Source organism: Homo sapiens, chromosome 6, assembly GCF_000001405.40.
Source record: "Homo sapiens chromosome 6, GRCh38.p14 Primary Assembly".
Lineage (NCBI taxonomy): Eukaryota > Metazoa > Chordata > Mammalia > Primates > Hominidae > Homo > Homo sapiens.
Genome location: NC_000006.12, coordinates 42694977 through 42722698, shown reverse-complemented (window position 1 = coordinate 42722698; position 27722 = coordinate 42694977). Strand labels below are relative to the sequence as shown.

Below are 27722 nucleotides of genomic sequence, written 5' to 3'. Positions count from 1 at the left end.
GTGGCATGGCTTTATCTAATGGGATGAACCTGGCTAAAGAGATTAGCAAAATGTCTTGTGGATCCCACTTTTAATCTGCAGCGTTCAGGCTGCCCCTTCTTGGCTGGGAAGGGCGCTGAAGAAACAACGCCCAGGACCAGGACTATCCCCTGCTCAAGCTGTGATTCCGAGACCCCTGCCACCACTACTGCATTCACGGGGATCCCAGGCTAGTGGGACTCGACATGGGTAGCCCCCAGGGCAGCTCCCTACAGCTTGGGCCATCTGCACTTTTCCCAAGGCCCTAAGTCTCCGCCTCTGGGCTCGTTAAGGTTTGGGGTGGGAGCTGTGCTGTGGGAAGCAACCCGGACTACACTTGGCAAGCATGGCGCTACTGAAAGTCAAGTTTGACCAGAAGAAGCGGGTCAAGTTGGCCCAAGGGCTCTGGCTCATGAACTGGTTCTCCGTGTTGGCTGGCATCATCATCTTCAGCCTAGGACTGTTCCTGAAGATTGAACTCCGAAAGAGGAGCGATGTGATGAATAATTCTGAGAGCCATTTTGTGCCCAACTCATTGATAGGGATGGGGGTGCTATCCTGTGTCTTCAACTCGCTGGCTGGGAAGATCTGCTACGACGCCCTGGACCCAGCCAAGTATGCCAGATGGAAGCCCTGGCTGAAGCCGTACCTGGCTATCTGTGTTCTCTTCAACATCATCCTCTTCCTTGTGGCTCTCTGCTGCTTTCTGCTTCGGGGCTCGCTGGAGAACACCCTGGGCCAAGGGCTCAAGAACGGCATGAAGTACTACCGGGACACAGACACCCCTGGCAGGTGTTTCATGAAGAAGACCATCGACATGCTGCAGATCGAGTTCAAATGCTGCGGCAACAACGGTTTTCGGGACTGGTTTGAGATTCAGTGGATCAGCAATCGCTACCTGGACTTTTCCTCCAAAGAAGTCAAAGAGTGAGTGGCTTCCAGTCCTGGGGTCAGAGCTATGAATATATTGGGGACACTGAGGCTCAGGCCTCTGACCAGCCCCTCTCCCCGCACCCAGTGCCTTTTCCTCTCCATCGGGTGCACAACTTATTGCTGCGTATGTGAGGGTGTATCAGGTGGAACCATATGAAATTGCTAATATTCTACCTCTTTGACCCATAAAAAATGACAACTTCATAGGGTTCAACCTAACATTGGCTAAGGTGGTAGGAAGGTATCAATTTATATAAGCTGTTTGGATAGGAGCCCCTTGGGATGAAGAGCCAGGCAGCAATGTGTGTCCACTTTATACAGAGGGATGGAAGTCATTCATAGATCACAAACACTGAGGTACTATTTGGCTATTTGTCCCATTCATTCAAAGTAGATGGATTCAGTCCCAGAAGTTTAAATTTCCTAGTTAGTTCCCTTGTTTTCCAACCTTTCAACCCTGAGCATCCATTCCCAAGATGTTTGTCTGGATATGTTGGAAAGAGCATAGGAAGGGGAAGTCATGAGATCTAGGGTGAAGTTTTGGTTCTGTTGTTCAAGGTCTTGTGACCTTGGGCAGGTCACTAGTCACTCTGCGCTTTGGCTTGCCCATCTTTTAAATGAGCACTGGAATAGAATAGGTAATTTTGGAAGTCACCTCCTAGCCCTGCCTGGTAGCTGGCATGCAGCAGGTACTCATTAAATGCTTGCTGGTGTTTACTTAGCGAGTCATGATAGTGCAATGTGATAAAGCATTTCTAAAGTATTCTTGGCATATGTAAAAGTAAAATGCTGCGATGGGCTGTGGGAGGTGCTGGTGAGAGAGAGACTCTCGACCACTGTGTCGGAGGGAACAGCCTGTGCACTGGCTCCAGCGGGCTGCTCTTCCCAACACACCCACCAACCTGGGGCTCGAGTGACTTTTCAGGGAAAGGGCAGCCTGCCTTGAGGCAGCCGCTTTCCCTCACCTCTTCTTTCTGTCTGACTCGACCCTACCTGGCTGAGGTTAGGGGTTCAGTTATTCCTAAGGGTGGTTTTTTTTTCTTCCCAGTGAGGCTGGCAAGTCCAAAGGGAACTTGAACTCAGGGCATTGGCACCAGCAGCAGGACATGTTTGAAGCCCAAAACAACATTAATGACGCCCAAATAGCTAGCTTATATCTGCCCTGCAGATGGAAGGGACGTCCAAGTGAAGGTCACTTCTTGGGATTTTATTTTCTTGTGGATGGAGATTACTGCTGCAAATCCCCAGTCAGGAGAGGATTGTAAAGGGCTGTGCCCTTCCCAGGTGACAGGTCTGCAGGGGCAGCACAAGATGCCACGATTTACATAAATCTCCCGAGGAGGGCATGAAGCCAGGGGGACAAGCAGAATTCTGGGGAGTGGGAGAGGCCGATGGTAGAACCAGCCTCTGTGAGCAGAGGCTCACAGAGAAGGGGCTTTTCATCTTTTCCTCTATCATTTCCCTTGATTGTCTCCTGCATAGAGTCAGTTCTTGGACAGATGTATTCAAATCTCTCGGTAACTCCAAATCCCCTTTTGTATCAGAGTGAAGGAATTATCTAGGTCACTCCACTCTCAATGGTCAATGGATCCAAAATTTCAGGCAAATATTTAGCTGAATCAAAACTCCTTCAATGTCCCATACCAACTTGTTGGTGGGAAATTTTCCTAACTCCACTGACTTGGAAAAATTCTTCTATTACACGCACAAAAAATACAGCAGTAATATTAAAAGAAGCCAAAATAGGAAAACAAATTCAAGCTAGCTTCTCACCCATAACTTGATTAATGCCTTTAGTTTTTCTACATTTCAGTTTCAGTCTAGTCTTGTTAACATTTACATAATCATACAGTGTAATGATAGTATAAAGACAATTTAGGGCCGGGTGCGGTAGCTCACACCTGTAATCCCAGCACTTTGGGAGGCCGAGGCGGGCGGATCACCTGAGTTCAGGAGTTCGAGACCAGCCTGACCAACACGGAGAAACCCCGTCTCTACTAAAAATACAAAATTAGCCGGGCATGGTGATGCATGCCTGTAATCCCAGCTACTCAGGAGGCTGAGGCGGGAGAACGCTTGAACCAGGGAGGCAGAGATTGTGGTGAGCTGAGATCTCGCCATTGCACTCCAGCCTGGGCAACAAGAGCAAAACTCTGTCTCAAAAAAAAAAAAAAAAAAAAGACAATTTAGTGTTCCATTTTGTAATCTGATAGTATAACATTTGCATAATATCCACAATGATCATGTTTAATGGTTGCATAAGAAGTCCACTGAAGCCAGGTGCAGTGGCTCACGCCTGTAATCCCAACACTTTGGGAGGCCAAGGTAGGTGGATCACGAGGTCAGGAGTTCGAAACCAGCCTGACCAAAATAGTGAAACCTCATCTCTACTAAAAATACAGAAAATTAGCTGGGTGTGGTGGCATGCCTGTAATCTCAGCTACTCGGGAGGCTGAGGCAGGAGAATTGCTTGAACCAGAGAAGCAGGGAGGCGGGGGTTGCAGTGAGCCGAGATCTTGCCACTGTACTCCAGCCCGGGAGACAGTGTGAGACTCGATCTCAAAGAAAAAAAAAAAAAAAGGAAGTCCACTGAATGAAAGTACATGCTTAGGCAAGCATTCAGATTTTTATTTACCTCTATTATAAGTAACACTGGAATGGGCATCTTTGAGCATTTTGCTTCTCTCTGTCTCTGTCTTTTATTTCCCTTAGGCTAAATTTCCCTGAGAAAAATGGACCTTTGGCTTTAACTTTCCACAAAGTTTGTCTAAAGACACAATTAGGGCTGGGATCAGTGGCGCACGCCTATAATCCCAGCTCTTTGGGAGGCTGAGGTGGGAGGATCACTTGAGCTCAGGAGTTCAAGACCAGCCTGGGCAACATGATGAAACCCTGACTCTTAAAAAAAAAGCCCAAAACATAAAAACATTAGCCAGGAGTGGTGGCTTGCACCTGTGGTCCTAGCTACTCAGGAGGCTGAGGCAGGAGGATAATTTATTTGAGCCCAGGAGGCAGAGGTTGTAGTGAGCTAAGATCATGCCACTGCACTTCAGCCTAGGTGACAGAGTAAGACCCTATCTCAGAAAAAAAAAAAATATATGAATTAGCACACAAATTTCTTAGAACTGAAATGCTTTTATCCTTTTCAAAACCTCCAGTGACCTCATACTGCAGTGGGCTACGTGTTCTTCCAAGGGTGCAGTCTGATAGGGCCACCTTTGCAGAGAGACTTTCCCACAGACTTTTATTTTTATTTAATTAATTAATTAATAATTATTTTGAGGCAGGGTCTCACTCTATTGCCCAGGCTGGAGTGCAGTGGCACAATCTTGGCTCACTGCAACCATCACCTCCAGGGTTCAAGCTATTCTTATGCCTCAGCCTCCCAAGCAGCTGAGATTATATAGGTGTGTGGCACCATGCTGGGCTAATTTTTTTTTTTTTTTTTGAGACAGGGTCTCACTCTCTTGAGATGGTCTCACTCTCCAGGCTCACTGCAACTCCCACCTCCCAGGCTCAAGTGATTCTCCCACCTCAGCCTCCCGAGTACCTGGGACTACAGACGTGAGCCACCACATCTGGCTAATTTTCTGTATTTTTGGTAGAGACAGGGTTTCGCCATGTTGCCCTCAGGCTGGTCTCAAACTCCTGAGCTCAGATGATCCACCTGCCTTGACCTCCCAAAGTGCTGGGATTACAGGCATGAGCCACCGTGCCTGGCCTCTGGCTAATTTTTCTATTTTTAGTAGAGACGGGGTTTCACCACGTTGGCCAAGCTGGTCTTTAACTTCTGGGCTCAAGTGATGCTCCCGCCTCAACCTCCCAAAGTGCTGGGATTCCAAACATGAGCCACCGCGCCCAGTCCCACAGACTTTTACATGATCACTGAACAAGGCCTGCGAGGGAAGTGAGGCTCCTGGGATTATGTTCAGAAAGCTGCTCAGAGCTGGGTTGCCTGAGGACCAGTGCCTGAGACCAGAGCACAGCCCTTATCTGTTGGTAGAAGGAATGAAAGAAGGAATGAATGAGAGACTGTGGAATGGCATTTACTCCCACCTCCAAGGAAAACTAAAAAATTTTTTCTGTTCATGTTTTCATGGCTTCATTTTGGAGGGTTTAGTGAGTTTACATGACAAAGCTGGCTCTCCAAAACCCTTCCCTGAAAAATGTAAGTTATATTTATTTATTTTTTGAGATCACAAGCACTGAGAAATGGTAAGCATTTACCTTCTGGATTATCTCGGCAGCACCCCCCGGGCTAGGATTCTGATGGCAAAGAGGTGAGGCCGGCAAAAGGGCAGGGAGAGGGAGGTTATCATCCACCAAGATCCTTTTCTTTTTGTATTTGTTGCCCAGGCTGGAGTGCCATGGTGCGATCTCAGCTCACTGCATCCTCGCCCCCCTGGTTCAATTGATTCTCCTGTCTCAGCCTCCCAAGTAGCTGGTATTACATGTGCCCGCCACCATGTCCACCTATTTATTTTTTTTTGTATTTTTAGTAGAGACTGAGTTTCACCATGTTGGCCAGGCTGGTCTTGAACTCCTAACCTCAAGTGATCCACCTTCCTTGGCCTCCCAAAGTGCTGGGATTACAGGCATGAGCCACCGCTCCTGGCCACAAAATCTTTTTAAAAGAAATTCTTGGCCAGGTGCGGGCTCATGCTTGTAATCCTAGCACTTTGGGAGGCTGAGACAGGAGGATCCCTTGAGGCCAGGAGTTCAAGACCAGCCTGGGCAACACAATGAGACTTCACCTCTACCAAAAAAAAAAAAAAAAAAAAAAAAGAAAAGAAAGAAAGAAAAGAAAAGAAAAAAAGAAAAGAAAAAAGGCCCGGTGAGGTGGCTCATGCCTGTAATCCTAGCACTTTGGGAGGCTGAGGCGGGTGGATCACTTGAGGTCAGGAGTTTGAGAACAGCCTGACCAACTTGGTGAAACTCTGTCTCTACTGAAAATACAAAATTAACCAGGTGTAGTGGCACACACCTATAATCCCAGCTACTTGGGAGGCTGAGGCAGGAGAATTGCTTCAATCTGGGAGGCGGAGATTGCAGTGAGCTGAGATGGCACCATTCTACTACAGCCTGGGCAACAAGAGCGAAACTTCATCTCAAAAAAAAAAAAAAAAAAAAAAAAACCAACCAAACCAAACCAAACAAAAAAAATTAGCTAGGGCACAGTGGCATGCACCTGTGGTCCCTGCTACTTGGGAAGCTGAGGTGGGAGAATCCGTTGAGCCTGGGAGGTCAAGGCTGCAGTGAGCCAAGATTGTGCCACTGCACTCCAGCCTGGGTGACAGAGTGAGACCCTGCCTTAAAAAAAAGAAAAAAAATTCTTTTCTTAAAAAAAAAAAATAGAGATAGGGTCTTACTCTGTTGCTTAGGCTGGTCTTGAACTCCTGGTTTCAAGCAACCATCCCACCTCAGCCTCCAGAGTACCTGGGATTATAGGCACCCACCACCATGCCAGGCAGAATTCTCCTTTTTTTTGTTTCCCCTCTCCCCATCAAATTTGGATGAGCCAACAAAGAGGTTCGGGTGAGCCTCTTTCTCCTACTTGACCTGAGGACTGTGGGGAAGCGATCCCAGGAGAATGAGCTGGTCTGAGCATGGGTAGCCTGGAGAAAATCCACAGGGATCCTCCTCTGACACAGACTGGGCATGGGCGGTGTCTGGTGACAGTGATTTCCAGGCATTTCTGCAGGCTCTGTTCCTGGAATAACTTTCCATTCTGTGCAGTGGGCACTTCACCGGACTGGGCTAGAGAAAGTTGAGGTCCTCACTTTCTGGCATCTTCAGTCCAGTTCCTGAGAGGAGGAGCTGGGTGCTTGCATTCTGGCCTCCCTAGGACCTCCCCACTTGTGCCCCTCCTTGGGGCCCCCCAGAAACCTGAGGATAGAGTGCATTGCCTCAGTAAGCATGGAGGGGCGGGCAGGTTTTGGAGATTTCTCAGGGGAATCTTTAAGATCCAGGACTGGCTCCTGAAGATTCCTGATCTAATGAATAAGATCAGGCAGAAACAATTCCATATTTTTATGGGAATTTACAAGAGTTTTTTGTTTTGTTTTGTTTTGTTTTTTGAAATGGAGTCTCACTCTGTCACCCAGGCTGAAGTGCAGTGGCACGATCTCAGCTTGCTGCAACCTCCACCTCCTGGGTTCAAGAGATTCTCCTGCCTCAGCCACCCAAGTAGCTGGGATTACAGGCGTGCACCTCCACACCTGGCTAATTTTTGTATTTTTAGTAGAGACGGGGTTTCACCATGTTGGTCAGGCTGGCCTCGAACTTCTGACCTCAAGTGATCCGCCTGCCTCGGCCTCCCAAATTGCTGGGATTACAGGTGTGAGCCACTGCACCTGAGTTTTGGCTGCTCTGTCTTAGGGGAGTAGCCCAGTGACTGCACCCCATCCCCAACCTGCCTATGACCGTGTTGCCAAGTCATTTGGGAGGGGGAAATGACCCACATTTATCCTGCACAAAACTCCTCCTGGGAAGTTTTTGTCTTAATCTTTTTTAGTTTTTGTTTGTTTGTTTGTTTTTTTGAGACAGAGTCTTGCCCCGTCACCCAGGCTGGAGTGCAGTGGCACGATCTCGACTCACTGCAACCTCCGCCTCCCGGGTTCAAGCGATTCTCCTGCCTCAACTTCCTGAGTAGCTGGGATTACAGACATGTGCCAGCACGCCTGGCTAATTTTTGTATTTTTAGTGAAGATGGGGTTTCACCATTTGGTCAGGCTGCTCTCGAACTCCTGACCTCAAGTGATCCACCCACCTCAGCCCCAAAGTGCTGGGATTATAGGCGTGAGCCACTGCACCCAGCTGGTATTATTAGCTCCATTTTATATATGAGAAATCTGAGGCCCAAGAGGTTAAGGGACATGTCTAAGATCACACAATAGGAAGTGGGGGAGACAAAAAAAGAAAATCAGCTTCGGCCACATGTGGTGGCTCACACCTGTAATCCCAGCACTTTGGGAGGTTGAAGTGGATGGATCACTTGAGCCCAGGGGTTCGATACCAGCATGGGCAACATAGTGAAACCCCATCTCTACAAAAAAATACAAAAATTAGCTAGGTGTGGTGGTGTGTGCCTATAGTCTCAGCTACTTGGGAGGCTAAGGTGGGAGGATCACCTGAGCCCAAGAAATTGAGGCAGCAGTGAGCTGAGATTGCACCACTGCACTCCAGCCTGGGCAGCAGAGTGAGACCCTGTCTCAAACAAAAAGAAAAAACAGCTTTATTGAGATATAATTCACTCACTATACAATGTACCCATTAAAAGTATGCAATTCAATGGTTTTTAGTATATTCACAGTCGGACAACCAGCATTACAATCAATTTTAGAACATTTTCATCACTTCTAAGGGAAACCTTACACCATTTAGCTTTCACTCCCTAGCCTTCCCTCCCCCTAGCCCTAAGTAACCACTCGTTTACTTTCTGTATCTATAGATTTCCCTGTTCTGGACATTTCATATGAATGAGTCATATAACATTTGTCCTTTTGTGTCTGCCTTCTTTCACTTAGCATAGTGTTTTCAAAATTAATCCATGTTGTAGCGTATATCAGAACTTAATTCCTTTATATGGTGAAATAATATTCCATTATATGGCATGTCAGATTTTAATTCTGCTCTTTTCACCTTACTCTCCTGTTTCCCAGCGATGTTAAAGTACCTCTTGCATACATTCGGCATTAAATGAATGTTTGCTCACTGAGTGACAGAAACCTCAAATTATCCAGGCTGCTTGGGGTACGGGAAGTCTTGCTTTTCTCCCTCTTCTCCCTGTCTTTCCCTGTCTTTTTTTTTTTTTTTTTTTTTTTTTTTTGAGATGGAGTCTTGCTCAGTCACCCAGGCTGGAGTGTAGTGGTGTGATCTTGGCTCACTGCAACCTTCGCCTCCCGGGTTCAAGCGATTCTCCTGCCTCAGCCTCCTGAGTAGCTGGGATTACAGACACCCACCATCACGCCCAGCTAATTTTTGTAATTTTCTAGAGACGGGGTTTCTCCATGTTGGCCAGGCTGGTCTCAAATTCCTGACCTCAGGTGATCTTCCTGCCTCGGCCTCCCAGAGTGCTGAGATTACAGGTGTGAGCCACCGCTCCCGGCCTTTCCCTGTCTTCTTCTTCTCCATTTCCTCTCCAAGAAGGACAGGGAAAGGGGTGGGCAGAGATGATGCAGGGTTGGAAAACATGGATGGATTAGGTTCGGATTCCAGTGCTTCTGTGCCAACGTCTCAGATAATAACGAGGTGGCCCCACAGAAACTAGAAACACCATTCCGGGCTCTGCGGCGCCTGTGGTAAATGGGGCTGTCACTGGGCTTCAACCTCCCACATCTCCCTCCCCTGGCCTGGTGGTCCTGGGTGGGCCAGGAAGAGGGGGACACACTTCCTGCTACACTTGGAGGAGGCTCTCAGAGGGAGGAGCCAAGTCCAGGAATGCTGTCTCCCTCACTGACTCTGTCTTTTCAGAGCAAGGTATCAGTGAAAGAGATTTGTAGTTCTTTCTCTTTTTTTTTTTTTGAGATGGAGTTTCACTCTGTCGTCCAGGCTGGAGTGCAGTGGCACCATGTCGGCTCACTGCAACCTCTGTCTCCAGGGTTCAAGCAATTCTCCTGCCTCAGCCTCCCAAGTAGCTGGGATTACAGGTGCCCACCATCATACCTGGCTAATTTTTATATTTTTAGTAGAGACAGGGTTTCACCATGTTGGCCAGGCTGGTCTCGAACTCCTGACCTCAGGTGATCCACCCACCTTGGCCTCCCAAAGTGCTGGGATTACAGGCATGAGCCACTGTGCCAGGCCTGTAGTTCTCAACTGATGCTCTTTTATCTTATTTTATTGCATTTCCGACTTCTATTATAGAAAAAACTCAAGCTTTCACAAAATTAGAGAGTTCATTATAATTAATTCTCATGTAGCCATCACCTAGCCAGGTGTGGTGGCAACACACCTGTAACTCCAGCTACTTGGAGGCTGAGGTGGGAGGATCACTTGAGCACAAGGTCTCTAAAAAAAAAAGGAAAAAACAGGCTGGGCACAGTGGCTCATGCCTGTAATCCCAGCACTTTGGGAAGCTGAGGCGGGTGGATCACCTGAGGTCAGGAGTTCAAGACCAGCCTGGCCAACATGGTGAAACCCCGTCCCTATCACCTAGCCATCACCTAGGAACAAATATCAATATTTTGCCTGTTTCATCTATACTACCCTCCCCCAAACACATTTTCCCCTTCTGAATATCCTAAAGCAAATCCTGGACATACTTTCCTTTTACCTGTAAATACTTTAATAGGCATCTCCAACAGATAAAGAGGCTTTAGTTGTTTTTTGCCCTTTTGTTTCTGCTGAACATAAGCACAAGACCAGTCATAGTCAACAGATTTAATGGCAATATCAATCAATACCCAGTCTATGTTCAGTTTTCCCTGATAGTCTCGGAATGCTTTTTACAGTTGGTCAATTCAGGATCCAAACCAAGTCCATGCTTTGCATTTGGTTGTTTGGTTTCCTGTCTGTTTTACTAGAAAACTGTCCCCTTTTTCATACCATATGTGTGAGAGAAACTGGGCCACGTGTCCTGCAGAATCCCCCATAGTTTGGAGTTGGGCAATTGCAGCCAAATGGTGTTGTCTAACTTGTTCTTCTGTCCCCTGTATTTCCTCATAAACCAGTAGTCTGGGTCGAGGTATGGTTGGATCAGGCTCAGTTGTGGCAAGAACATTTCCTACAGTGCCGCTCTGTGTATCTTACCGTAGCACATGAGGAAGGACATGAGGTCTTCAGTCAGTTTACAACACTTCTTTTAAAGGTTGCAGGATGAGCAGAGCTGCAGTGTCTTGGGGTGAGAGGTAGAACATGCGGGAGCTCAGACATTTTGGAACCAGGAACTACCAGCCAGGAAGGCCCAGCCTGGGGTCCCCAGTCTGAGGGAGAAGCTGGCACCAAGCTCTTGCTCTTCACCATTCTTCCCAGGGAACCCACAGACTACAGGTACCTGCTTGCTCTTCTTAAACAATTCGTAGACATCTCAAGGAGAAGATTAGAACTTGACTCTATGGGGTTTCTCCCCTCTCAGACGGGAACTCTTTGAAGAGAGCTGTGTCTCCCCTTCAAATTGGGGCTTCCTGAGGGCTGGGCTATGTCTCCCCTCAGACCAGGGCTCCCTGAGGATGGGGCTGTGTCCCCCTCAGACCGGGGCTCCCTGAGGATGGGGCTGTGTTTCCCTCAAACTAGGGTCCCCTGAAGACAGGGCTGCATCTCCCCTCAGACTGGGGCTCCCTGAGGACAGGGCTGCATTCCCCCCTCAGACTGGGGCTGCCTGAGGACGGGGCTGTGTCTCCTCCTCATGTCACCCCTCACCGTCTAGTACCTCACACTCAGTGACTTATTTTCTTACTTCACTGTGAGCTGCTATAACAGAATACCTGAGTCTGGATAATTGATAAAGAGTAGAGATTTATTTCTTACTGTTCTGGAGGCTGGGAAGTCCAAGGTGGAGGGGCCCGCATCTGCTGAGGGGCCCGATTTCATCCTTTTCCTCAGGAACCCACTCCCATGATAATGGCATTAATCTACTCATGAGGGCAGAGCGCTTGTAATCCAGTCACCTCTCAAAGGTCCCATCTCTCACCACTGTCATGCTGGGCCTCACGTTTCCAACACAGGAACTTTGGGGGACACATTCAAACCACAGCACTACACAAAAAAGCAATCATCAAAGCATACTAAGCACATAGTGTGTACCAAATGCTCCACGTGTATGATCCCATTTAATTTCCACCATCCCCTGTCGAGTGTTTAAAATGTCATTTCTTAGATGAGAAAACTCAGGCTCAGAGAGGTTAGGCCAGTTCTCAAGGTCTCACAGGTGTCCCTCAGCCAGCGTTCTGCTTGGCATGACCCACTGTCAGGTATACCCCTGCTCATTGCCCTATGGCTGGCTTTACTAATTTGATTCACTTACTAAATTATGTTGGTTTTTCTGGAAAAACTCAGACGTGATCATTTTCCCAGGCTCTTTGTGCCTTGCTTATGGGAGAGTGGCCTAGAACATAGTTCTTATCTTAATCAAGACCCTTTCAAACCCTAGTGACTCCTCCTCCACCGCCCCCGGCCCCTTCCGCGCAGAGTGAAATTCGTAGCCTGGGAAACACGCTGTGATATAAATAGCCGGCTCACCACTAAGGCGCTCTCCTCTGCCTGGCTTTGTCTTAAGAGGGTGAGAGGAGCCTTAATCTGTGGTTGGAATGAGGGCAAGCACTGAGTAAACAAGATGATGTTTGGAGTGGGGGAGGGATAGCTCCAGAAGTGAGAGACCCCAGGAGTTCCCAGGCTGGTGACCCAGGCAGGTCCCAACGTTCACCAAGCTTGGCCTTTTCCCCCAGGCTGACCTGGATGTTGCCCCTGGGAATACACTGGGAAGTTCCCAGTATGAGGGAGACGCAGCCCTGTCTTTAGGAAGCCCCAGTTTGAGGGGAGACAGCCCCATCTTCAGGGGGCCCCAGTCTGAGGGGAGACACAGCCCCGTCCTCAGGGAACCCCAGTCTGATGGGGAGACACAGCCCCGTCTTCAGGGAGCCCCAGTCTGAGGGGGAGACACAGCCCTGACTCAGGGAGCCCCAGTGTGAGGGGAGACAGCCTGGTGGAGACCATTAGGGTGACTTGTCTGGGGGCTCAGGGAGGCGAGGTGGGGAGACGGGGAATGTCCGCAAGCCCAGCCTGCAGACTGAGGGTGGCTCAGAGCCTCTGCTGGCCTCAGCCCACACAGTTTTAGGCCTGACCCTCACATCACAGACACCTTAGTGTGCATGAGGCGGGTGTGCAAGGTTTGCTCCACCTTAGGGCCACCTGGTAGGTACCTGAGGGTAGGTGGTGGTGGCTAGGAAAGGACTCCTGGGACAGGGAAGAGGGGAGAAAACACACAGTTTTCCAGGAAATTTAACTTCCAGGCCTGGAAACACCTGGCTGGAAAGGGCCTTGGCCACCAGTGACCTGTAAGGGGGAGATGAGGTTGGTGAGGGAGCTGGGGTGTCACCAATGGCAGCCAGATGCTCGTCCATCAACGGCTCCCATCCTGCTGCTCCTCCTACCCTCCAGGCATGACCCCAAGGAAGGGCCTGGCCCCACAGAGTGGTTGGGTGAATTTCTATATTCCCTATTGACTTGGTCTTGGATTACCATCTACCTCAACCCTCTAGGCCATAAGATCGAGGAAGGCAGGGGCATTTATTCACTGCTCTGTCTTCAGCGCCTAGAATAGCAGCTGGCAGGTAGCAGGTGCACAGCAAATATTTATCAAGTGAGTGAATGAATGAAAGGTCAAGTCAGGAGGGACAAGGGAGGTGGGGAACTCCAATGGGACCAGTGGGCAACTGCTGTGGGCTGGACCCAAGTTTTTTTTTTTTTTTTTTTTTAATTTGAGACAGAGTCTCACTCTGTTGCCCAGGCTGGAGTGCAATGGCATGATCTCAGCTCACTGCAATCTCCACCTCCCTGGTTCAAGTGATTCTTCTGCCTCAGCCTCCCCAGTAGCTAGGATTACAGGCGCCCGCCACCACGCCCGGCTAATTTTTTGTATTTTTAGTAGAGACGGGGTTTCACCACGTTGGCCAGGATGGTCTCGAACTCCTGACCTCATGATCTGCCCACCTCAGCCTCCCAAAGTGCTAGGATTACAGGCGTGAGCCACCGCGCCCGGCTGGACCCCGACTTCTTGTGTGGCTTTGGGCGAGGCCTTGCCCTCCTCTGGGCCCCACTTGCTCCTCTGTAGGACAATCCGATGGTTTTCCAGGTCTTATCCAATGGCTCTAAGCGGAAGGAGGGACAACATTTTCTGAGGCCTCCAGCATGTCCAGCCTGTGTCAAATGCGTGACTCGAATTGTCTCATTTATATCCCCCATAACCCCTGAGAGGCAGCTGCTATCACTCCCAGCTCACGCAGGTCCACAGAGTTTAAGCTCCATGGCTCCCAAATACATATTTAGGACTCAGTGGTGTGCTTTCAATCACCCCCACCCTGTCCACAGGACACTGGCAATGGCTCAGCTGGGACACTGTACTGAGGGGAAGGCTCCAGGGACAGCCTGTAGGTCAGGAGGTGGGACAGACAGCATTTGGGTTGGGAGGCCCCTAGCCTTGAGGAGGACACTTTGGGGAAGGTCTTGGGGGAAGAAGGGAGAGACCACTGCAGAGATGCCATCTGCTCAGTGTGTCCAGGGCTACTGGCCCCTCCAGAGGGCCAGTAGAGGGGAGCGGGAGGCCCGAGCTGAAGGCCCCCCTCACACTGCTCCAGCTTGTCTTCCCACCCCTGCCCCACTTCCGTCACCAACAGCCCGGTGCCCAGAGAGGGGCTGCAGAAGGACAGCTGAGCAAGACACAGTTTCTGCCTTCCCCACGCACATGGCTGGAGTGGGGCTTTGAGTGGTGGGCAGGCAGTGCCAGCGGGCAGGTGCTCCGTGTCAGGCCCACCATGGAGGGTGGCCCGCACGATCCTGCCCTCAAGGAGCTGACAGCTTCTTTGCCACAGCTGGTAGAACCTGCACGGCCAACTCCCCAGGGAGGGCTCTCCCATGATATGATATGGCGTGGTGGGCTCTGTTCTTACAACCTGATGTCAGCTCCCAGGTGCTCAGAGTACCACCCCTGATGGCTCTTGCTCGGCCACCTGCCCAGTGAGGTGGCTTTTGCTCACAGCGCATGGCTACTATGTATTAATACCAGCACTCTTCAAGCACTCTTACATGTATCACTTCATGTAATCCTTTGTTTCAAATATAAGGAAGCAGAGGCAGGGAGAGGTTAAGGAACTTGTCCAGAGGGATGGAGCTGGCATGTGGGCGAGCCAGGAGTAAACCCAGGCTGTCCGGCTCTTGTCACCGATCTGTGCTGCCCATGCCACCCAGGGCCATGTGGTCTCTGGGCAGTGTGTTCTGCCCACGAAGTAGAGGGCAGGGATTACAGGGCGTGTGGAAACATGGTTGCCATGACCCAGGCCACCTCATGCAGCCCTTCTAGAAAGTCTTAATCATAATAGGCGGAAGTCAACATGGTTCATGGAAATGGAACCACCAGTGGCCCTTGAGCACACCAAAAGACGCTCAACTTCACTCATAATGAGAAAAATGGAAATGAAAACAACTCTGAGATACTGTTTTTCAAAGATTAGGTTGGCAAAGATCAAAAGTCTGACCTGTGTGGATGTGGCTGTGGAGGACAGGTTCTCCTGAGCATGGCTGGTTGGGCTTTGTGAACCGCGCCCCCACCTCAGCCCCCAGCAGGAGAGACCAGAGGAGAAAAATGGCAGGTATCTGGCAAGATCACCCTTTGATGCAAGGATCCATCTTCAAGGAATTTACCTGCTCCATATAGTCACAATATGCAAAATGACTGATGTCCATGTTTGTATTAACGAGAGACTGGGAAAAACCCAAACTTCCATCAGTCTGGAACTGGCTAGGACCCATGTGCCATCCACGCAATGGGAATACCATGCAGCTCATTAACAAACAAAAATCCAGGACACTCCACAGACAGATACGAAAATATCTCAGCCGAGCGCAGTGGCTCATACCTGTAATCCCAGCACTTTGGGAGGCTGAGGCAGGTGGATCACTCGAGATCAGGAGTTCCAGAGCAGCCTGGCCAATATGACAAAACCCCATCTCTACTGAAAATACAAAAGTTAGCTGGGCATGGTGGCACACCACTGCACTCCAGCCTGGGTGACAGAGCAAGACTCCATCCCCCATCCATGCCAAAAAAAAAAAAAAAAAGATCTCCAAGATATTGCTAAGGGAAAAAAGAAAGGTTCAAGACAGTATGTATATAATGTTCTAATTTGCAGTAATAAAAAAAGAACAGGAAAAATGAAAACATGTTTGCTTGTCCATGCATGAAGCCTCTCTCTGGTGGAACTGGCCATAGCGGTCAGGACCTGGAGGCTGAGAGATGAGGAGTGAGAGGCATTTTATATTAAAGAGATTTTATTTAGAAGCAAAAGATGGACATCTTTTAAGAGATTCGTGACCAATTCAATGAACATTGTTTAAAATAATCTCTATTGGAAACAGTTATGCTTTCTATTATGTTCTAAAAGTCTATTATGTAACGCATTCTTCGCGTGCAATTTTTTTTTCTTTTTCCTTTCTTTCTTTTTTTTTTGTTTTTTGAGACAGAGTCTCACTGGCGTGATCTCGGCTCACTGCAACCTCTGCGTCTCGGGCTCAAGTGATTCTCGTGCCTCAGCCTCCCGAATAGCTGGGACTACAGGCATGCACCACAACGCCTGGCTAATTTTTTTGTATTTTTATTTTTATTTTTTTATTTTTTATTTTTATTTTTTTTGAGACAGAGTCTCACTGTGTCGCCCAGGCTGGAGTACAATGGCGTGATCTCGGCTCACTGCAAGCTCCGCCCCCTGGGTTCACGCCATTCTCCTGCCTCAGCCTCCCGAGTATCTGGGACTACAAGAGCCCGCCACAACGCCCAGCTAATTTTTTGTATATTTAGTAGAGACGGGGTTTCACCGTGTTAGCCAGGATGGTCTCGATCTCCTGACCTCGTGATCCACCCGCCTCAGCCTCCCAAAGTGCTGGGATTACAGGCTTGAGCCACCGTGCCCGGCCTGTATTTTTATTAATTGTAGAGATGAGGTTTCACCATGTTGCCCAGGCTGGTCTTGAACTCCTGACCTCAGGTCGTCTGCCCACCTGGGCCTCCCAAAGTGCTGAGATTACAGGTGTGAGCCACTGCACTTGGCCTACATGCAACTTTTTCTTTTTTTTTTTTTTGAGACGGGGTCTCACTGTATCGTACGGGCTGGAGTGCAGTGGTGTGATCTTGGCTCACTGCAACCTCTTCCTCCCGGGTTCAAGTGATTCTCGTGCCTCAGCCTCCCGAGTAGCTGGGACTACAGGCGCGTGCCACCACGCCCAGATAATTTTTGTATTTTTAGTAGAGACGGGGTTTCACCATATTGGCCAGGATGGTCTCGATCTCTTGACCTTGATGAAGATCTGCCCATCTTCGTCTCCCAAAGTGCTGGGATTACAGGCGTGAGCCACCGCGCCTGGCTGCAACTTTTTATTTAGATGACAAGCACCCAGTCAAGTGCACAAATATATATATATATATATATATATATATATATTTTTTTTTTTTTTTTTTTTTTTTTTAGAGAAAGTCTTGTTCTGTTGCCCAGGCTGAGAGCAGTGGTGTGATCATAGCTCACTGCTGCCTTGAACTCCTGGGCTCCCGCCTCGGCCTTACAAAGTGCTGGGATTACAGACATGAGCCACCATGCCCAGCCAAATGCACGGATCTTAAGTGTGCAGCTCAGGGAGTTTTGACCATAAAACACCTGGGTAATCACCCCCAGGCCAGGTAGAACATACCCAGCCTGCCTGAGGGGAAGGGGAGACTTTTCACTGTAAAGATCCCTTTTGAATTCTGAACCTGTGTGAATGTATGGTAAGCGCTAAACAAATACACACAAAAATATAGAAGTGCAGAAGATATGCTGGGAGCCCCGCCCATCAGCCTGGAGAACCTGCTTGCAGCTGTGTCCCTTAGGTGAGTCAGGAGCTCCCACCTGGCTGGGGGTGGAGTCCTCCGAGGGCAAGGACTGTGCCTGCCTCGGGTCTCCATCCCCTGCCTCTGCACAGGCCCTGGGACTGAGCAGGCCTTCTGGAAACACCTGGCTGGAAAGGGCCTTGGCCACCAGTGACCTGTAAGGGGGAGATGAGGTTGGTGAGGGAGCTGTGGGCATCACCAGTGGCAGCCAGATGCTTGTCCATCAACAGCTCCCATCCTGCTGCTCCTCCTACCCACCTATGCACCAGGCATGGCCCCAAGAAAGCGCCTGGCAGCACAGAGTGGTTGGGTGAATTTCTATACTCCCTATTGACTTGGGTCTTGGATTACCGTCTACCTCAAGGTCGAGGAAGGCAGGGGCATTTATTCATTTTTTTGTCTTCAGCGCCTAGAACAGTGACTGGCACGTAGCGGGCGCACAGCAAATATATACCAAGTGTGCGAGTGAATGACTATTCTAGGTTTCCAGAGGCAGGGGTTGGGAGGAAGTGGCCCCTGTTGAGAAGCCCGGGAAGCCCATCTCCAGCTGTCTGTTTCCCTTTAAGTCGAATCAAGAGCAACGTGGATGGGCGGTACCTGGTGGACGGCGTCCCTTTCAGCTGCTGCAATCCTAGCTCGCCACGGCCCTGCATCCAGTATCAGATCACCAACAACTCAGCACACTACAGTTACGACCACCAGACGGAGGAGCTCAACCTGTGGGTGCGTGGCTGCAGGGCTGCCCTGCTGAGCTACTACAGCAGCCTCATGAACTCCATGGGTGTCGTCACGCTCCTCATTTGGCTCTTCGAGGTAGGCCCTGGGCCAGCTGGGGGTAGAGGGTAAGGAGAGCCTCCGGTCCCATTTGGGTCTAATGGGGGCGGAGCCAGGCTTGGAGAGCATGCCTCCCTCTTTGGAAACAGCCTTCAGTGGAGCTGTGGGTCAGATCAGTCTGGGCTTGAACCCCACCCAGGGCCTCCACCTTTTGTATTTATTTATTTATTTATTTATTCATTTATTTCTTTTTTGGTTTCTTTCCCACCACTTAAATTTATTTTTTTTATTTTTTTTTTATTTTGAGGCTGAGTCTCTCTGTGTTGCCCAGGCTGGAGTGCAGTGGCATGATCTCAGCTCACTGCAACCTCCCTCTCCTGGGTTCAAGGGATCCTTCTGCCTCAGCCTCCCGATAGCTGGGACTACAGGCATGTGCCACCATGCCCGGCTAATTTTTTATATTTGTAGTAGAGACAGGTTTTCACTGCATTAGCCAGGATGGTCTCGATCTCCTGACCTCGTGATCTGCCTGCCTCGGCCTCCCGAAGTCTGGGTTTACAGGTGTGAGCACTGCACCCGACCGACAATTGTTTTTTTAATTGAGGTGAGATTTATAAAAGGTAAACAATTTGGTGTCATCTAGTTGATTTACAATGTTGTGCAAGCACCTCTACCTAGTTCCAAAAGACTTCCATCAGCCCCCAAGAAAATCTCACACCCATGAAGCAGTCACCACCTCCCAACCTGCCCTCCAGCCCCTGGCAACTGTTCTCTGGATTTATGTATTTTGGACATTTCATATAAATGGACCCATATTACGTTTGGCTTCTTTTAGTTAGCATGTTTTGGAGGTTCATCCTGTGTCCCCACTTTTTGGTACCGAGGTCTTAGTCATTTAACCTCTCTGTTATATGGGGTGACAGCACTTAGCTTTGGGGACTATTGGGAGGCAACATGAACAGCATGTGCAGGTGTTCAGGAAATGGGTACTGTTTGGATTTGTGCTTCTTGGGATGCTGGTCCTCATTTACCTGTTAGTCTAGTTATGTGTGGGTTCATCTTATCTGCAACGCTCAGTTTCTCTGTAGCTATAGGGCTTGCAATGTAAGCAAATCCTCGGTGAGTGTGCTGAATTCGCTCTTTGGTTAAAGAGATATTCATTTTTTATTTTTATTATTTTAAATTGTTTATTATTATTTTTTTTAGAGACAAGAAGAAAAATTCACCTGTCACCCAGGCTGGAGTGCAGGGGCATGATCGTAGCTCACTGCAGCCTTGAACTCCTGGGCTCAGGGCTCTTCCCACCTCAGCCTTCTGAGTAGCTAGGACTATAGGCACATGCAGAGTAGCTGAAAACAGGTGCCCTGAGTCATACTCCGTAGAGTCTTCTGTAGAAATGGGGTCTTGCTATGTTGCCCAGGCTGCTCTCTAACTCCTGGCTTCAAGCAATCCTCTTACCTTGGTCCCCCAAAGTGCTGGGATTACAGGTGTGTGCCACTGCATCTGGCCAAGAGATATTTCTTTCTTTTTTTTTGAGATGAAGTCTTGCTCTGTCACCCAGGCTGGAGTGCAATGGCACGATCTCAGCTCACTGCAAGCTCCACCTCCCAGGTTCAAGCAATTCTCCTGTCTCAGCCTCCCAAGTAGCTGTGATTACAGGCGTGCACCACCACGCCTAGCCAGTTTTTGTATTTTTAGTAGAGATGGGGTTTTACCATGTTGGCCAAGCTGGTCTTGAACTCCTGACCTCAAATAATCCACCAGCCTCGGCCTCGGCCTCCCAAAGTGCTGGGATTACAGGCGTGAGCCACCACACGTGGTCAGAGATATTTCTTAAACATGTACCCATATGCCAGGCACAGCTCAGGTGTTGAATGAGAGCCTGTTAGTAAATGAGGTGGCATGGTGACTCAGGGTAGCTGCTTTGAGCTACCTTGAGAGCAGAAAATCCAAACTTCAAAATCCCAATGTACAAAGCCAGGAAGATTTGGTGAGGAAGCTTTTTCCATTGAGGAGATTCCCAAAGATTCCTTTAAATGAGTCACTGTCCTAATGCTATCAGCCAGTGCATCCTGCCTGTGGCTGATAAACACCTCCTCTAACTCACCACATGAAACTAAAGGGTGACTGTATGTCCAGGAAGCCGCCTTTTTTTTTTTTTAAGACAGAGTTTCACTCTTGTTGCCCAGGCTGGAGTGCAGTGGCGCGATCTCAGCTCACGGCAACCTCAGACTCCTGGGTTCAAGTGATTCTTCTGCCTCAGCCCCTTCCAAATAGCTGGGATTACAGGCGCCCACCACCACGCCTGGCTGATTTTGTATTTTTAGTAGAGACGAGGTTTGACCATGTTGGCTGGGCTGGTCTTGAATTCCTGACCACAGGTGATCCCCCAACCTCGGCCTCCTAAAGTGCTGGGATTACAGGCGTGAGCCACTGCGCCCAGCCGAAGCCTTCTTTTAATGCTGAGGCAAACACAGCATATTCATGACTATTTATTGGTCGCTGACTCCTTGACACAGAGTCTTGGGTGGGTAGAATGAGGAGAGGAACATACTGCTGGAAATTTAGATGGCCACATTCCCTGAAAACACACAAAAAGAAGACTGAATATAAAAGAAGTCATAAAAGTTCACTAGCATTGAGCTCAGGAGTTCAAGACCAGCCTGGGCAACATAGTGAGCCCTCATCTCTACTAAAAAAAAAAAAAAAAAAAAAAAAAAATTGCTGGACGTGGTGGCGCATGCCTATAGTCTCAGCTACTCAGGTACTCGGATGGCCAAGATGGGAGGATCTCATGAGCCCCAGAGATGGAGGCATAAAAGAAGTCAGCGGAGCCAGGAGCGGTGGCTCACACCTGTAATCCTAGCAGGCATTAGCTAGGATTTGGGAGGCTAAGGCAGGAGGATCAATTGAGCCCAGGAGTTTAGACCAGCCCAGGCAACATAGCAAGATCTCATCTCTACAAAAAACACAAAAATGACGGCCAGGCGCGGTGGCTTATGCCTGTAATCTCAGCACTTTGGGAGGCCGAGGCGGGGGATCACCTGAGGTTGGGAGTTTGCAACCAGCCTGACCAACATGGAGAAACCCTGTCTCTACCTAAAAATACAAGATTAGCCGGGCCTAATGGTGCATGCCTGTAATCCCAGCTACTTGGGGGCTGAGGCAGGAGAATTGCTTGAACCTGGGAGGTGGAGGTTGTGGTGAGCCGAGATCACGCCATTGCACTCCAGCTTGAGCAACAAAAACAAAAACATAAAAATTAGCTTTGTGTGGTGGTGCACACATGTAGTCCTGGATCCTCCTGGCTCAGGCAGGAGGATCACCTGAGCCCTGGAGGTCAAGGCTGCTGTAAGCCATGATCTCAACACTGCACTCTAACAGAGCCAGACTCTATCTCCAAAAAAAAAAAAAAAGAAAGAAAAGTCAGTGGGAAAATGAATGGGGTTCCATTGGCAGCCTCTTAGTGGCCCCACCTTTACAGGAATCTAGTGGACTGCATTAGACAAGAATCAGCTTATTGGGAAGAGGGCATTCAAATGCCCCTTTTACTTGGGGCCTTTAATGGACAGAGGTCTGATGGGCCAAGGGTGGCTGAGCATAATGTTAGGAGTCTGATCTTGGCTGTGCCTGCCTAGGCTTCACAATCCAGTCAGGAGATGATGTCTAATTTATGAGCCAAAGGGAGGATCACTACCAAGTGCAAAACTCACAGTGCAGAGAGCCTCCTTCAGGAAAGCAGGAGGGGATCAGAGTGGACGCGTTCACATCAAGAGGACTTCATGGAGGAGGTGACTTTTTCTGCTGTAAAAATATTTATTCAACTTCCAGTTGACAATAGCAGTAACATAAATCTAAAACTCTATCAGTTATTATTATCTACTGCCATAATTATAAAATGTCCCAGAGCATTCATTCAAAAGAGATTTACTGAGGCCCTCCCCCTACCTGGTACTGTTCTAGGTGCTGGGATTCTGAGTGAGCCAGATGAGTCAGGGCCATCCCTGCCCTCAGGGAGCAGCTTCATCCTCTTGTAGAGTTTGCTATGCCATACAAAGAAGTGGAGGAGAGCAAGCCGGGAATTTGTACAGAAACAAGTGGCTAACGGAATATACGGAATATATTATAGAAAAATGAAAACAGGGTGTGGTGGCTCACGCCTGTAATCCCAGCACTTTGGGAGGCTGAGGCGGGCAGATCACCTGAGGTCAGGAGTTTGAGACCAGCCTGGCCAACATGGCGAAACCTTGTCTCTACAAAAAATATAAAAATTAGCCAGGCGTGGTGCCAAGTTTTTGACGCCTGTAATCCCAGCTACTCGGGAGGCTGAGGTAGGAGACTTGCTTGAACCCGGGAGGCGGAGATTGCAGTGAGCCAAGATCGTGCCACTGCACTCCAGCCTGGGTGACAGAGCGAGACTCCATCTCAAAAAAAAAAAAAAGTGAAAACAATAAGCTAATTATCAGCTACAGCTGACTCTTCTGCTCTTCTGTTGGTCCTTACTGTGCACTAGGTACAGTGGTGGTGTTTGCTGGAGTGCAGTGGTGGAGTCATGGCTCACTGCAGCCTCCATCTCTGGGGCTCATGAGATCCTCCCATCTTGGCTACCCAAGTACCCGGGTAGCTGGGACTACAGGCACGCGCCACCACACCCGGCAATTATTTTTATTTTTATTTTTAGTAGAGATGAGGTCTCGCTATGTTGCCCAGGCTGGTCTCGAACTCCTGAGCTCAAGCAATCCTCCCTCCACCTTGGCCTCCCAAAGTGCCGGGATTACAGGCATGCACCATTGCACTTGGCCTGTGTGTTTTACACATATTAAAGTGGCACAGTATCCACACGGGGTGGGCACCACTTCATCTGAAAATCTGCAAACCGGATGAATAAAGTGAGGTTTCCTGGTCACACGGCTGGCTAAGTGCCCGGGTTTGAACCCAGGCATTTTGGCACCAAGTCTGCCACACAGTGAATGCTAGTGAACAAATCCAAATTATTTTTTACCAGCATCCATTCATCACTGTGCTCATCAAAATAATGGAAGGGCTGGGCATGGTGGCTCGCACCTGTAATCCCAGCACTTTGGGAGGTCGAGGCGGGTGGATCTTGAGGCCAGGAGTTCGAGGCCAGCTGGCAACATGGGGAAACCACATATCTACAACAATAACAACAAAAAAATACAAAAATTAGTCAGGTATGGTGGCAGGCACCTGCAACGTTAGCTATTCAAGAGGCTGATGCATGAGAATTCCTTGAACACAGGAGATAGAGTTTGTAGTGAGCTGAGACCACGCCACTGCACTCCAGCATGGGTGACAGAGTAAGACTTGTCTCAAAAAAAAAAAAAAAAAAAAAAAAGAAGTACCACACATCAGATGCAGAAAAGGAGGTGACCTCTTAATTCCACCCAAGGCAGTTACTGAACTACCCAATATGTGCCAAGCAATGGGGTGTAGAGGTGAAGGCACCCAGGAATAATGCACCTGGGATGGGGGCGACCCGAGGGGATGGGGAGGGAGGATGAGCTGCCGGGGAGCTCACCAAGGGCTGAAGATGAATTAACAGATGAACGTGGAGAGGAGCAAGGTTCTAGGCAGAGAGCATAGCAGATGGTAAAGACCTAGAGGGGAGAAAGTAGGGGGCATGGGCGAATCCGAAGCAGCCCAGGATGGCTGGAAAGGGAGGAGGAGAGGGGTCTGACATGAGGCTGGAGAAGAGTCAGGTGTGTTGAGCACTGAGGACAGGGCAGCGTGGGGCAGGCTGTCACCAACCCACACTCCACAGTGCTCAGGTTGAGTCCTCTCTGGGACCCTCAATTTGAGGCTCCTGTGGTTTCCTAATGGTCCAGCTCCCAGCGATTCTCCCAGATTGCCTCTAAATCTCCTCTCCCACCACCAGGTGACCATTACAATTGGGCTGCGCTACCTACAGACGTCGCTGGATGGTGTGTCCAACCCCGAGGAATCTGAGAGCGAGAGCCAGGGCTGGCTGCTGGAGAGGAGCGTGCCGGAGACCTGGAAGGCCTTTCTGGAGAGTGTGAAGAAGCTGGGCAAGGGCAACCAGGTGGAAGCCGAGGGCGCAGACGCAGGCCAGGCCCCAGAGGCTGGCTGAGGGCCCTGGGGCCCCTCCCCTCCCGAACACTGAGAAATAGTGCACTCCAAGAAACGTGGATCTCCCCCTCATCCAACTCCGAAAGTCTGAATCTCCCAAGGAGGGCACCATCTTACAGAGACTCTCCCTGACGGTGGAATTTAAGTTTAGGGTCCCTAAAAGCATTTGACACACAGTTGTTGAATGACTGACCCAAAATGTGAATGAAGCTAATGTGAATGTGAGTGAAGCTCCCTTCAGGCCCGCTGCCCTAGGATATGCCCTCCTGGTGACTCGGGGGCTGTCTCAGACGACTAGCCCAGGACCCATCTTTCTCACACGGATTTAGTCCCACCCTATGGCCACTGGCCGTATCTGAGGGCTGCTCCCCTTTTAGAATTTACCTCTTATGAGCTCCATGTTGCTTCACTCTATCCAAAGTGTCACTTGGTGCATAAGCACAGAAATCTGAAAAATGGCCATGTTGTCTTTTTTTTTTTTTTTTAATGCCAAGATTGACAGGTTGGCCGTTTGCTTAATGCCAGAAGTTGGGGGAAAGTTACGCTTTTCTAAGAATAATGGACTCTTAAGGCATTGAGGGCTCTAAACAGGATTCTTTAATCATGGAGCAAGAGAATTTCAAGGCAGGGGATTTTATCCCCCACCAAAAACACAGTGAAAGGCCTGCTTTTGTGTCCCATTCACATGCCCTCGGTCACTGAGTCTGGAGTGAACCACGGGTTGAGGAAGTCAGGCTGTTGGCGTGTCCCAGCACCACACCACCCCTAAAGTGCCAGGTGATCTCCTGTGGCTCATCGGTGGAAGCAGTGGGGTAGGCTGCTGCCCTGCTGTGGAAGAGGAGCAACAATCAGACATGAGTCCACCCTTTGGAGACCAGGCCTCAGCTCTTGGTGGGCCCAGGGACACCCACACAGGTGGCCATCACAGCCCCATGGACAACACTAATTGTCCACAGCAAAGGGCAAGGAATCCTCTGGGAGCTTCTTCCGTTTCTTCCCCCCAGATACCCATCTTGAAAAACACTATTTCTGGAATGCTTCTGCATCAAAGGAGATTCTTTGAGATAGCCCATCTTCCTGAGCTAGCAAATACAGGAGTTTTCACTTTCTTTAGGAAAGAGAAGCTTTCAGGGGAAGGAGAGAATGATTTTGCTGACTTCCCAAGCCCTGGTGACCAGACCAAGGCAGGGCCCAGCATAATTCCTCCAGTTGGATGAACATTCAAGAGAGCTCGTTCCTACCTGGCTGGAGACCGAGGCCAGAAGGCAAAAACCAGAAAGGGAACAGTCCATAACTTACCTCTGCTTCTGACCGATGGTGTTTGGGAATAGGTTACTTTGGACTGAGTTTGGGTTCTCTGCTGTCCTAAGAACTTCAGTGTAGAGAAAATAAGACTTCTGGTGCTGCTGGGGTATGTTCTGGGCTTAATTCCCCCAAGCAGAAGACCAGATCCAAGATGTTTGGACACCCTGTCAGACGTTGGTCCCAAGTTTAATTAGATTTCTGAATCTCGTTGAGGCCAAGGAATGATCCATACTGAAAAAATGCTGAGCCAGCCATCTTTGGCAAAGGTCCCTGAGCTCTTGCTATCTCTCAAGAGTGCTGAGAACCACGGTGAAAGTGCTGCTCTAGGCCCACAAGTGTAACTATGCTGTTAACAGCTGTCAATAGATAATTAAAATTCATACTGTATGAAAATCACTTTTGTTAAATGACTGTTTAAGCCCATTCAACAACATATATCAGAATCCCCTACTACCGCTAGTATTTGCCAAAAAAGAAAAGAAACCCACCCTAAGGGAAGCATTGGTAACAATCGTTGTTATAAACATGGCTTGGGTATCACATCTCTCCATCTTGCCATCTCTTACCTGTAAGAACGGTGACTATTACAACAGTGACTATTATTATATCCAAATAATCTCAGCATTTGCTGGAGTTTGAACCAGAGCTGAATACATGGAATTTTAATGTAGAAATTTAGGCAAAACTCCAAGCCATTTTTTCTTCTCCTCTGGCCAAAACGTTATTTCCTCAAACAGGGAAATATGAGTCTCTATGGGGCCAGGTTATAGGAGCAAATGTGAACAACCTGAGAATCTGAAGGTTGTTGAGAGGACCAAGAGTGCATTGACTCTACAATAAATCTCACTCATTGGTTCGGAGCAGGCTTAGGGTTAACTGCATTTTAACAGGTCTTCTCAGGTAGCCGGTAGTTGCGAGAGAAACCTGGACCATCCCTTTTGGTCACCTACCAGTGCCCAGGAAGTCTCTGCTATCAGGTTTTTGCTTGTGTGTAACTTCAGTCTTTCCTTGGGCTGGTGTAAATCCTTTTCTCCTGAGGGACCCAGCCTACTTTTTTTTTTTTTTTTTCAAATATGGAGTTTTGCTCTTGTTGCCCAGGCTGGAGTGCAATGGCATGATCTCAGCTCACTGCAACCTCCGCCTCCTGGGTTCAAGTGATTCTCCTGCCTCAGCCTCCCTACTAGCTGGGATTACAGGCGTTTGCCACCACGCCCGGCTAATTTTTGTATTTTTATTAGAGATGAGATTTCACCATGTTGGCCAGGCTGGTCTCGAACTCCTGTCCTTAGGTGATCTGCCCGCCTTGGCCTCCCAAAGTGCTGGGATTATAGGAGTGAGCCACCTGGCCCAGCTAGCTTTTAAAGTTCTGCCAGCATAGCCCCGGGATGGGGTGGGGGTAGACAGGGCCTTAGGACTTTCATTTTTAAAATGCTCACTCCACGGTGAAGAAACAGGTGATGACTATCCTGAATATTTGGGAAGCTGTGTCCTAGAATTTTTGGCCTCAGTTCCAGAACCCACAGCTTCTTTACAACATGCTTCAAGCCTGGGACTGAGCTGCCAGTAAATAAACCCCTAGTAACCTTAATATGGGTTAATAAGATTAGGTGCCCGCTCTGCACGCTCCCCTGCCCCTCCTCGTCCGGGCACCTGTTACACTAGGCCAGCATGTTTGCAGCTTAGCCAGGGAAAATCGTGGACCAAGACAGGGCTTTTCATCCACGACTGGCTAAAAAGATGGCTCTCAATGACAGCGCAGGCAGGCAGCACCACTGTGTTAGGAAGAGAAAAGTGTCTGTCCAATACTATGAAAGTCCAGGGAAGAGACAAGTGCCTTCCCAGGTCACAATGGATAGATTGGCTGGAAGGGGAAAAACATGTCAGTTCTTAACTCCTGACAGCATTTTATCCTGTCCATCACAGAGGACTGTAAACAGCAAAGTTACAGATTAGAGAATGCTGAGCTCTCAGGATGGCATCAAATGGAGGATTAAGATGTAAGGGACAACTTCTA

General features: G+C 49.0%; 1 protein-coding gene across 2 annotated transcripts, besides 2 other annotated features; it reads left to right on the top strand.

Annotated features, from left to right (window-relative positions):
• Positions 102-26101, top strand: PRPH2 (peripherin 2). 2 transcript variants are annotated; one of them, XR_007059288.1, is made up of 3 exons: positions 102-945; positions 10760-10941; positions 18088-18173. XR_007059288.1 is itself a non-coding variant. In NM_000322.5 (3 exons), the coding sequence occupies exons 1-3, from the start codon at positions 365-367 to the stop codon at positions 24402-24404; spliced, it is 1041 nt and encodes a 346-aa protein (NP_000313.2). In that variant the 5' UTR covers positions 102-364; the 3' UTR covers positions 24405-26101. The 2 variants fall into 2 exon arrangements, 1 of the variants encoding a protein (NP_000313.2); NM_000322.5 differs by lacking the exon at positions 10760-10941 and adding an exon at positions 24192-26101 and having other exon boundaries at positions 18088-18334.
• Positions 11919-12504: an enhancer, noted in NCBI's record as "NANOG-H3K27ac-H3K4me1 hESC enhancer chr6:42677933-42678518 (GRCh37/hg19 assembly coordinates)". NCBI's record gives its function as "activates a minimal SCP1, AML or CMV promoter by ChIP-STARR-seq in naive H9 embryonic stem cells {active_cell/tissue: H9 hESC(naive)}" and the evidence as "EXISTENCE:reporter gene assay evidence [ECO:0000049][PMID:30033119]".
• Positions 19241-19441: a silencer, noted in NCBI's record as "peak5809 fragment used in MPRA reporter construct". NCBI's record gives its function as "represses an SCP1 promoter by STARR-seq MPRAs in K562 erythroleukemia cells {active_cell/tissue: K562}" and the evidence as "EXISTENCE:reporter gene assay evidence [ECO:0000049][PMID:32103011]".